Source organism: Homo sapiens, chromosome 2, assembly GCF_000001405.40.
Source record: "Homo sapiens chromosome 2, GRCh38.p14 Primary Assembly".
Taxonomy (NCBI): Eukaryota; Metazoa; Chordata; class Mammalia; order Primates; family Hominidae; genus Homo; species Homo sapiens.
The window spans coordinates 121499763-121512605 of NC_000002.12; the positions used below are offsets into that span (position 1 = coordinate 121499763).

Here is a 12843-nt window from a genome sequence, read left to right on the forward strand (position 1 = left end):
TTCTTTTCTATTCTAAGGCCTTTTTAAATAAACTTCTATTCCTGCTCTGGGAAAAAAAAAAAAGATAAGATAAACAGAAGTAAATAGAAAACTACCTCATTTTGATAAAGAACATCTACAAAAATCCTACGGCTAATACCATACTTAGCACCTAGGATAGGAACCAGACGAGGATGTCCTGTCTCACCACTCTTATCTTACACAGTACTGGAAGTTCTAGCCAGTGCAATAAGGCAAGAAAAAGAAATTAAAAGCATACGTATCTGAAAGAGATAAAACTGTTCCTATTTGCAGATGACAAGACTGTATATGTAGAAAACCCCACAGAGGCTACAAAAACTCCTACAACTAATAAGTTCAGAAAGGTTGTAATCTAAGCTGTATAAGGTATGAAATGGAGAAAGCAGAGGATGAATGGATCTAGAGAAAACTGAACAGTCAAAGGTTTGAAGTTCAAAAGAGATCAAAGAATTACACTGGGAGTTGTGTTTTAAAAAAACACGAAGGAGGAGGAGGTGGGGGAGAGAGAGAAAGAGGGAGAGACAGAAAGAGAGAGAGGAAGAGAAAGAAGGAAAGAAAGAAAAAGAAAGAAAGAAAGAAAGAAAGAAAGAAAGAAAGAAAGAAAGAAAGAAAGAAAAGAAAGAAAGAAAGAAAAAAAAGAAAAGAGAAAAGAAAAGAGGGAAGGAAGGAGGGAAGGAGGGAAGGAAGGAAGAAGAAAAGAGAAAAAGAGGAGGAGGAGAAAAGGTGAAAGAAAGAAAAGAAAAGAAAGAGAAAATTAGATAAAGAGGGAGACAGGTTTTATTCCATCACTACTGCAGTTTCTCTATGCCATCTAAATGTTCAATGAAGGAAATCAGGTGGTTTGTTTTTTGACAGCAATTGAACATTTTACTGGTCTCTCAAATTTACTGTAAAGAGATGAAAATCATTTAGGTTAGAAATTCTAAAATTTTATACATATGGCTATATAGTACTCAGTTTCCTTCAACATTTTGGCTCTAACAATTAAAACAGTAATACTACACATACAAAGCAAAAAGCTGAAATTATCGGCCTCCAAGAAATTTTGTTAAGGCTTCCTTACCATTTGCTATTTTTAGCATAGATGTTTAAAAGAACTGTTTCCATCCTCAACCCTAAACCTATGTGTGTGCACGTGCACACACACATAAAGGGAATTTGGGGGCAATATTTATACCTAGCCACTTAGAATAAAATGCTGCTTGTGATATATCCAATGCCACACAGTTTTGGCATTCCTGAGGGTGAAATCCTATTTGTCACATCACTGGATCCCATAGGGTATATGTACACACTCTTTTAGGCAAGATCTCCAGTGTGGATGCAGTCTTTCTCCCCAATGCCAGCACTATAATGAGATTCTGTTTCATAGCTGTCATACTGGCTTATGAAGCACAAACTCAATTTCCTGCCACTGCTTTTACTTACTTGCACAGCATGTTCTGTCCTAGTGCCAACAATTTTTAAACTGAGAAACCACACAAATGACACAAATACACCCACACAAAAGTAAAAGCCACATGTCCAGCAACTAACTGCCTGTGAAGACCTGCCTGTGGACACCCAGCAACCCCACTCATCACGAGTGCACCACTCAGATGCCAGAATTCTGGCCCCAGCTCTACCAATGATATGTTTTTAAAAGCTGAAAGTATGTAAGCTAAAGTACAGGGTAAAGGAGAGAAAATTACACCATAGTTAAAATTATATACAAATTATACAGTTACAGGAAAATGAACTAAGAAAATATAGCGAAAATGATTTTTGATGGTAATAGCTGAATTATGATATCAATTTTCTATTATTTCTTACAATCTATGAAAAAGAAATAAGGAGGATTAATGAAAGCATTTTTAGATCACTTTAGGTATTTTATATAGGAAACATGCTGTTCAAAGAAAAATTCCTTTGGAATAATAATAGGTACACAGCAGAGTGTGAGTCAAAAGACTTGCATGCTATTACCTGCTCTGCCCTTATGTATCAAGTTACTTTGAGGAAAAGCGCTCAGACTTCTCTTTACAATCTCAAGATATTCAAAATGTGAAGGCTTGTACTAGGAAGACAGTAGTAATGATGAGGAGAATTACTGGGATTCGGGGTGCAGTTTTAAAAGTTAATCCAACAGGATTAATGAATTCAGTACTGGTTGTAATCTAAGATACCTAAAAATTCTAAAATAGCTTAGCTATGATACAATGAGGTATCCAGAGTTAGAAAAAGTTTTTCTCAGCAATTAACTTTTTGATATTTTTTCCTTCATACAGGAGTAATTCACTCCTGTCTTTTCCTCTCCTTCTGGAATCACAAGAATTACCCACTAGTTCTCAAATATCATCACAAAGTATAGTGAAAGGAATACAGGAACTGGCAACAATAGACTACAATTGACATCAAAATCATTACTTTATTTATTCAACAATACTTACTGCACACCTATCACAAGCCAGGGACTCTTCAAGGCGTTGAATTTATGCTCATTGAGAAAAAAAATAAAGAACAATAAAGGGAATAAAGTAAAGGTCCTGCTCTCATGAGTAAACACATATTTTTCTAGTGATACATGCAAAGAAAACTCAAACAGGGTGAGGGCACAGAGCGTTCCCTCAGAACCCTGGACATGCTATTCTGGTGGCCTCAGTAATGCAGTGATACTGTATGAAGTGAGATACTGTATGAGGGAGGAGGGATGAGGCCATAATGATACCCACAGGGCAAATACTTCAGGCAGAAGGAATTACAAGCACAGAGGTCCTGAAGCAGGAGATGCTCAGAATGTTCAAAATTAGCAAGGAGGTCAAACGTGGCTAGAGCAAAGAGAAATTTCACAAAGAACGATTCAAATGACATCAGAATGGCGGTGGGTGCCAGATCACGCAAGGCCCAGTGGGCCATGGTGAGTTGGTGAATTGTAGCCTGGGTGTGATGGGAAGTCTTTGGAGGATTAGGAAGAAGATTAACACCACCCGACTTGTATTCTGAAAGGATTACTCTGGTTGCTATATGAAAAACAGACTTTAGGCATGGGGAAACAGTAGAAGAAAAGATACTGTTTAGGAGGGAAACACAAGAGCCCAGGTAAAATACCATGACAGCTTGTGCTAGGAAGACAGCAGCAGTGATGATGAGAGTTCCTGGGATTCAGGACGCAGTTTTAAAAGTAAAGCCAACAGGATTCGCTAATAAATTCAATACAGGTTATGAAAGAAAGTCAGTGATGATTCACTGCATTGTTTCTGGCCTGGAAAACTGGGTGAATGGAGGTTAAGTTTTAAGACTTAGAAACTCTTACTAAATTACCTAATTCAGCTCTTCACATATAACATAAATGATGCGAATGTAAAACTGAAAAAGCAAAAGTAGGGATTGCTTTTTCTACTCACCATTTGCAGATTGTATCATGTTTCCAGATTTCTGGACTTCATCAAATTTTGTAAAAATTACATTCAACCTGTATGAAAGAAAAATGTAAACAAACTATTAACCATCACTGCTCATAGCCAATTATATTAAAATGCTAATGTGAAGTTGATCCCCACTCCCCATCAAAAAAAACAATGGTACAGACCCACCTAGTAACAAAACAGTGACTCAATCAATAACATTAACAATAGCCAACAATAACTGAGCACTTACTATGGGTAAAGAATGGGCCTAGAAGTCTATCTGAAAGATCTCATTTAATCTCCTTGAGGTGACACAGGTGTGGGGTGGAGATTCTAGCCCTGAGAGTAGTAATCCAGAGCCCCTGCTCTCTGACATTACTGACTACTCTACACAAAATGTGTATCTTATGAGAAGTGTGTGTTTCTCCTCTTTCTTTCTTAGCGCAGACTATCAATAACTTGGGATGGAGCTTTTCAAAATGCACTAATAGTACGTTACAAAGGCTTGTGCTTATTGCTGTGATTCATGCTTAATCCAAAAATGCTATAAATGATTTCTCTAGAAACAAATGCTGTGACTGGATAATCTTCAGCTTAAAAAAAAATCTGTATTACATTTATTTTCTATTAATGGATCATTTCACCTTGGCATTTAAATTAAAGCAAAATTCCTTAACCAGTCTAAATATTCCATCCTAGTGACACCAAAAATGAAAGGAAAAGGTGGGAGAATGCAATCATAATTAGTAGAAAAAGTTAAGAAAAAAGAGGCTTTCTTGAGCCGGGCATGGTGGCTCATTACTGTAATCCCAGCACTTTGGGAGGCTGAAGCAGGTGGATCGCCTGAGGTCAGGAGTTTGAGACCAGCCTGGCCAACATAGTGAAATCCCATCTCTACTAAAAATACAAAAAATTAGCTGGGTGTGGTGGTGGGTGCCTGTAATCCCAGCTGCTAGGGAGGCTGAGGCAGGAGAATTGCTTGAACCCGGGAGACAGAGGCTGCAATGAGCCGAGACCGTGCCACTGCACTCCAGCCTGGGCAACAAGAGCGAAACTCCGTCTCAAAAAAAAAAAAAGAAAGAAAAAAGAGGCTTTCTCACAGGTATACTGGAGTAAGTGTTGAGATTCCAAAGCAATGTATCTGTGCATTCAATTTTAGGGACATTTTAAGTGCTTTTTAACACACCATCCTATCCTGCCAGCTCTCATCATTTCAAATATGTTTGCCTTTTCTTCTCAAGCGAATGGAAGCTCCTTAGGGGTAGAGATGTGAGCTACATTCTTTTGGTATTTGTACCAAACACTATGTATGCCATGCAGACACTCACTCAGGAGAGTTACATCACTATGTTAGACAGCTGGAACCTAACTCCTCACTCTGGAAAACTGTAGGTATTCACACAAGCTCTGGTGTTAGTTCATTCATTTGTTCATTCACTCAAAAATACTTGAGTGCCCATTATGTGCCCAACACCGAGCTAGTGAGTTCTTACCCTCTGGAGCTTATGCTCTAAGTAACAGAGAGGACAAAATTACACATCAGCAAATGAGGGGGATGAACCAGCCTGATGCACTGCCTCCCCCCATTCCATAGGAGACACCAACAATCTTTTCAAGCCATCTTTCCACCAAGCCCAGATGTTCCCTCAGAATCCTTCTCAAAACTATTCCAGGCAGCCACTACCCATTCGTTAAAGCTGGCACTGAATAAAACTCCAATTGCCACCTCAGGACCAGATATGAATAAAACTATAACTCACTTTCAAATCCAGCAGTTACTAAAGAACTGGAAAGATGCCTTACATGATTGTGTTTCTTATGATGTTTCCATTATCTTCCCTTTTTAAAAGTAACAAAGATCTCCAATGGCTTGACAAACTCATAAATAATATCATGACACCGGTTGCCAGGGCATGCCCTCACTAAGGCACTACTTGATTGTGTCACAACCACACCCTCTGATGTGAGCATGTCTGCAAGTCTGCAAGTTAGAGCCAAGGTATACCTCTAGTCTGGCTGTTCCTGAAATTACTGGAAGAAGGCAAGTATTTCTTTCATTCCTGGGAGAGTATTCACCATTCTAAATGGTAATTGTGTACGAGTCTGCAGATTCTTTCTCAGTGGTGAGGCATTCTCACTGTGGTCACATTACCCACGACCTGGCAAGCCTGAACAACTAGGTATGAGAACACTATAAACATAACTATTACTAGTATGTCCACCTTAATTCAGAATTCCCTCCGCTTTTACTCTCCTGCCTCACTAGCTCCCTCATTCTCTGCTCATTAATGCTGCTACAACAGCTCCTATCAAGGTTACCACCTAAAGAGACAGTCTAACACCAACAAAGCATCCTTAGGAATGAAAGGACTGGTTTTTGTTTGCTAGCTCTGAGCACAAAAATATAAAATGTCTCTCTTGGGACCTACTGATTCACACAAATCTAAAAGGATGAGTTTTATATATTCAAAGACATTGAATACATAACTAATGATTACCCTCTGAGGCCACTAAATTGTTTTATTTTAAATCTCTGGATTTCCATTTAAAATAAATTTCTTTACTGGTTTGACAACCACCATCTTCCTCTATTTTTTCTGAATTTAAATTTCCATATTAAACTCTTCAATCCAATTAGAATTTATTTTACTATAAGATTTAGTTCAAATTAGTTCCTTCCTAGAAAATTTTATATATAAATTTTAAATAATTTCCTGGAAGCAAATACTTAATCACGGCAATCTCAGTCAATAAGCTGCATCCATATACTCAGAGCTTCTAGCATGAAAAAGAGAAATCAACATAAACACATACTTAAAAATCCAAACTTGGAGGACAGAAGAGATTTTAAAGAGAAAGAAAAAGTTTTTTTAAAAATGTCATTAGTGCTTCCAAAGAGATAAGAGAAAATATTGTGATCATAAAACAGGAGAGTAGCACTTTAAAATGGCAGAATAAGGACCCTTGAAAATCTGCTTCAAAGAAGCAAAGAAAACATTGGCAAAAACCGTCCAAATCAACTTATCATCATGGCAAGTGTGAAAACCAGCAGCCTGGCAGCCACTAGAAAGAGCTGAAGTTCCCAAGTCTGGAGCTCCCTAAAAGTCCCCATTCCCAAAGAACTATCATTCCACCTATCTGGCACATCCCTGCAAGCCCAGTTGCAGGGCTTGTCTTTATCTGACCTGACTTAGAGCTTGTTCAATGTTAGAGGCCTTTTCCCTGAGGCGATGATCAAAACTAACCAGTGACAACTGTTCAACATGGCGGATACCCAAGACAGAAATAACAACTGGGGCAAAGAAGCTGACCAAAAATAGGAAAAAAAAAAGGTGGGGGGAAGGAGGGGTAGAAATTGAGATGTCCACAGCAAACTTTGAAAACACTGACATACTCCTGGGAACCTGGGAGGTCACGTATATGTGCAAGGCTGTGCACATGCACAGGCCCAGGAAAGACCCCTGAAGCCTCTAATGTCCCCACTGGCTGACTTTGACACTCTGAACAAGCAGGAAGTAAAAAGGAAGACAGAGGTGCAAAACACCTTTCAGAGCACTGAAAGCATGCCCCCAAAACACAGAGCCAGTCAGTAGAGGCTGGGAGACTTACTGGTTCAACATGTTTAAGGAAATCTCTGTTCAATCATTAGCTCACCGCTAAGCTAACCAACCAGAGAATTCAGTGGCAACATATAACAAAGAACAAAGACTTTAAGGAATTCTTTCAGGAAAGTCACTAGAACAAAATAAGCAACAAAAACAATAAAAAGCAACAACAAAAAATCTGGGGAGGGGAAAGAATATGATTTCCTGAGTTGCCACAATATATTATTTCAAGTGTCCAGTTTCAACAACAAATGATGAGACAAAGAAACAAGAAAATATGGCCCATACAAAGGAAATAAAAATCAGTCAACAAAAACTATTTTTAAGGACACCTATACATTGCCTTAACTCAATGAAGACTTCAAGTCAACTAATATAAATATGTCGAAAGATCTAAAGAAAACTATTTCTGAAGAATTAAAGTGTAAGAACAATGTCTCACCAAATAGAGAAAAACAACAAACAGAAAGAATATATTTAAAAGAACCATACAGAAATTCTGGAGATGAAAAATACAATAACTGAAATTAAAAATTCACCAGGAGGAGTTCAACAGATTTGAGCTGAGACAAGAAGGAATCAACAAATTTGAAGATCAGTCAAATGATACCATATCCTACCTAAGTAACAGAAACAAACAAAAACAATGAACAGAGTCTAAGAGATCATCTTACAAAACCAATGTACCAACATAGTCACATAACAGAAGTCCCAGGAAAACAGAAAAAAGAAAAGGAGATACGGTACTTTTCAAAGGACTTTTTGGGTCAGATACTTTGCCCTAGTTGTTATCGTTGCCTCAGGCATCTACCACGTTGAAAAATTATCAAAAAAAGATATATGAAGAATAATGGCTAAAAACTTCACAAATTTGATATAAAACAATCTATATATTTAACAAGCTACTCCAAACAGGATAAACTTAAAGAGATCCAAATCTAGACACAATAACCAAACTGTCACAAGAGAAGACAAAGAGAAAATCTTCAAAGCAACAATGGAGAACCCACTCATTGTGCACAAGGGATCCTCAAAAAGGTCAATATCTGATTTCTCATGAGAAACCATGAAAGCCAGAGTGGAGCAGGGTGGGAATAGATAATATATTCAAAGTTCTGAAATTAAAAAAGACAATCAACCAAGAATTCTGTATGTAACAAAACTATTCACCAAAAACAAAAGAGAACTTAAGATATTACCAGATAAATGAAAAACAACAGTCCTTTGGGTTGAAATGAAAGGACACTGTACAACAGCTCAAATCCACATGAAGAAATAAAAAAAAAAGTAAAAATAACTACATAGGTAAATATAAAATATAGTATAAAAGTATTTTTTGTTCTTAGCTCTTTTCTTGTCCTACATAACTTAAAAAGAAACTGCATAAAGCAATAATTATAGAACTATATGCACTGGTGGGCTTATAATGTATAAAGATGTAATTTGCATGACAATAGCAAAAAAAGAAGAAAACAGAGCTAAGTAGAAGTTTTTAATACTGAAATTAAATAGTATCAATTTAAACTAGACTGTTTAAAGTTAAGATGTTAATTGCAAGCCCCAGAGCAACTGCGAATAATTCCCCCCAAAAAACTAAAATAAACAGCAAGTTATAGTAGTACACTAGAAAATATCTATTTAACACAAAATAACGCAGTAACAGAGGAACAAAGAAACAAGTCATGACATATAGAACATAAATAGCACACCTGCAGACATAAATTCTACCTTGCCAGTACTACATTAAATATAAATAGATTAAACCAATGGAAAGTTAAAAAAAGTCAGACTGCATAAACAAATAAGACTCAACTTTATAGTGTCTACAAGAGACTCACTGTATTTATTTTTTTTATAAAAGATGGGGTTTCACTAGGTTGCCAAGGCTGAACTAGAGCTTAAGTCATCCTCCTGCCTCAGCTTCCCCAGTAGCTGGAACTGGGGGTACATGCCACCACACCCAGTCTAAGAGACACTTAAGATTCAAAGTCACAAAGTGGTTGAAAAGTAAAGGATGGAAAAAGATATTTCATGCAAACAGTACACAAAAGAGAGCTAGAATGGTTATAGTGATAACAAGTAACACAGACCTTAAGACAAAACTTCTCTCTGTGCACAAAGACAGACATTTTACAATAGTAAAAGAGTCAGTGCTCAGGGGATCATAACAATTATAAACATATATGCACCTAAGAACAGAGCCCAAAATACAGGAAGCAAAAAGTGACAACTGAAGAGAGAAATAGATAATTCAACAGTATTAACTGGAAACTTCAATATGTACATTCCTTAATGGATTTTAAAAACCAGAAAGAGGATCAACCAGAAAATAAGACTTCAATGACACTATAATCCAACTAGAACAAACATCTATAAGACATTCAAACAAACAATATTAGAATACAGATTCTTCTTTTTTAAGACAGGGTCTCTCTCTGTCACCCAAGCTGAAGTGCAGTGGCACGATCCCAGCTCACTGCAACCTCAACCTCCCAAGCTGGAGAGATTCTCCTGCCTCAGCGTCTCATGTAGCTAGGACCACAGGCACACGCTACCACACCCAACTAATTTTTTAATTTTTTTGTAGAAACGGGGTCTCATGTTGCCCAGGCTGGTCTTGCACTCCTGGGCTCAAGCAATCCTTCCGTCTCGGCCTCCCAAAGGGATGGGATTACAGGCATGAGCCACTGGGCCTGCCTTACAGATTCTTTTCAAGTGTACATGGAACATTATCCAGGAGTCCACATGCCAGGCCACAAAAATAAGCCTCAATAAATTTCAAGCCGGGCACGGTGGACCACACCTGTAATCTCAGCACTTGGGGACGCTGAGGCAGGTGGAACACACGAGGGCAGAAGTTTGAGATCATCCTGGCCAATGTGGCAAAACCTCGTCTCTACTAAAATTACAAAAATTAGCCGGGTGTGGTGGTATACATCTGTAATCCCAGCTACTTGGGAGACTGAGGCACAAGAATTGCTTGAACCCAGGAGGCAGAGGTTGCAGTGAGCCAAGACTGTACTACTGCACTCCAGCCTGGACAAAAGAGTGAGACTCTGCCTCAAAAAAATGTTTTTAATTTAAAAAAAAGATTTCAAATGACTGAAACCATACAAATTATGTTCTCTAACCACAATTTGATAAAATCAGAAATTAATAACAAAAAGAAATAAGAAACAAACAAATGTAGAAATCAAACACTCCTAAGTAACAAATAACTCAAAAATGAAAACAAAAAGGAATTAGAAAATACTTTGAGATAAATGAAAACATTAACATATCAAAGCTTATGGAATACAGCTAAAGCAGTACTTAGAAATTCATAGGTGTAGATGTCTACATTAAAACAGAAGATCTCAAATCAATAACCTTCCATCTTAAAAAACTGGAAAAAGACAAGTACATCAAACCAATCAAAAGTAAAGATTAGAGTGAAATAAGCAAAATATATACAACAGGGAAAACAGAAAAATCAATGAAACCAGAAGTTAGTTCTTTGAAAAGGCAAAAACTGACAAACCTTAACTAGACTGACCAGAAGAGCAAAGGCTCAAATTAATGAAATAAGAACCTTGAAAGGGAAGGCATTACTGCTAAGCATGTACAAATAAAAAGGATTACAGGGGAATTCTATGAACAATTATATGCCAACAATTAGATAACCAAGATAAAATGACTAAATTCCTACAGAGACCCAAGCTACCAAAACTGATTTGAAAAGAAACAGAAAATCTGAATAGACCCCTAACAAGTAGAGAAATTGAATTAGTGACCCCTAACAAGTAGAGAGATTTAATTAGTGATTCAAAAAAAATCAGCCTGAGACCAGCCTGGGCAACATGGCAAAACCCCACCTGTACAAAAAATACAGAAATTACCCGCGCATGGTAGCATGCGCCTGTAGTCCCAGCTACTTGGGAGGCCGAGATGGAGCGATTACTTGAGCCCAGGAAGTCAAGGCTGCAGTGAGCAATGATCATGTCATTGCACTCCAGCCTGGGCAACAGAGAGAGATCCTGCCTCAAAAAATAATAATAATAAATAAAAATAATTTTAAAAATTAAATAAATGGACGAATGAATGAATGAATGAATGAACCAAGAAAGAAAAGGCCTAGTCTCCAAGAAACAGCAGATGCACCTGCCGAGAAAGGTGAAGCAAAGACCCAGGATGACAAAGAGGTGTCAGGATGATGGGTTTGCAAGAGGCAGTGAAGGCAGCCAGTTCAGGCTGAAACAGGCTTCACAGACTTACACAACTGGCAGAGAGGTTAGCAAGTAGAAAGTATGAGTATGCAGTAAGTATACAGACAACTATACAAATGAAACTAAAACAGTTATTAACTCCAGGAAAAACAAAAAGTTGTAAGAAAAAGGTAATCATAGTTTACCAAATATTAATAGTGAACTGTAAATAGCATTCATAATCATAATATGAACTATATGTTGTCCTTACCAAAATTAAAATATGACTTTATTTGATAGATGAGGAGATTGGAAGTATATATGAGAGAGGTTAAGAGAAAAGAGAGCAGTCAGGGGCAGTGGCTCATGCCTGTAATCCCAGCACTTTGGGAGGCCGAGGCGGGTGGATCACCTGAGGTCGGGGGTTCGAGATCAGCCTAACCAACATGGAGAAACCCCGTCTCTACTAAAAATACAAAATTAGCCAGGCACGGTGGTGCATGCCAGCAATCCCAGCTACTCGGGAGGCTGAGGCAGGAGAATCAGTTGAACCCAGGAGGTGGAGGTTGCAGTGAGCCAAGATCACACCACTGCACTCCAGTCTGGGCAACAAGAGCGAAACTCCATCTCAAAAAAAAAAAAAAGAGAGAGAGAGAGAGAGCTGAAATTCAGCCTGCATAGTGAAAAGTATAATTCTTATAGTGACAAAAAATTTTTAAATAGCAATACCTGCCAATTATTAGGAGAACAGTAAATAACAAAAGGATCAATAAAAACAGTTGACAGCGTTTGCCTCTGAGGAGCAGAAAAAGGCAGAAAGAGTGAGGAACTGTCTTTTCAAAAATGTATCTTATAAATCTAGTTGAATCTCTGTGTGTACAAATAACTATGACAAAAAATAAAATTAAAAATAAGTGATGTCTCAGAGCAATTTATCATCTGCTTTCACCTTGGGTTCTCTTTAACACTAAAGCTTTAGCAAGCAAGTTAAAAATTTTAAAGTACCAATTTTCCCTTTCCGAAACAATCATTAAGTAATAAAACCTGATGAATGTTTATAAATTTTAAAATAGATAGCAAACGAGTAAATATTATGAAATGTGTTTTTTAAAAAAGTAGTTCCCAATGTAAGTTACCAAATAGTTATAATGAATCAAGTGACCTATGTCTCAGCCCTGTCTATAAGTTAAATCATCTTCAGGTTTAAAGCCACTGCTTTTTAGAAGCTTGGTTCCCAAATGATGATCCCAGAAGAAATTTAACATAAGTGACCTTTTTCCCAACACTCTGCAAACTAAAATATGTGATACTGACTAAAAATATTTTCTAGAAGACTCAATGGGATGAGAGTGAATGTCAAGATATGCTAAAAGTCTATGAAAGTAACAAAGAGTTAACATTTTATTAAGTTGTCAAGCATGCCTCACAGGGTATCACACAACTACATGATATCTTATGATGGCTAGAAGTTATTTATTTTCTGAACATATATACATGAACTATAATAATACATGTAAAAACCATGTTAAATGGTCAAATATTCTATACCTTTAGGGCCTCAACTACTCTGAGACCCCATGTAAGCAGGGAGACCCTCTAACATGAAGATTTTGTTAACTACCTCCACTTTATTATCTGGCTCGATAA

The 12843-nt window shown here is 37.4% G+C and overlaps 1 protein-coding gene across 36 annotated transcripts in view; it reads right to left on the minus strand.

Moving 5' to 3' along the window:
* The window catches only part of CLASP1 (cytoplasmic linker associated protein 1), a 311687-nt gene that overhangs the window by 161987 nt on the left and 136857 nt on the right, over window positions 1–12843 (minus strand). For all 36 annotated transcript variants that reach the window (XM_047443792.1, XM_047443782.1, XM_006712383.2 and 33 more), the window contains one exon: window positions 3405–3472. In XM_047443792.1, coding sequence (XP_047299748.1) covers window positions 3405–3472 — 68 coding nt within the window. The remainder of the gene's footprint in view (window positions 1–3404; window positions 3473–12843) is intronic.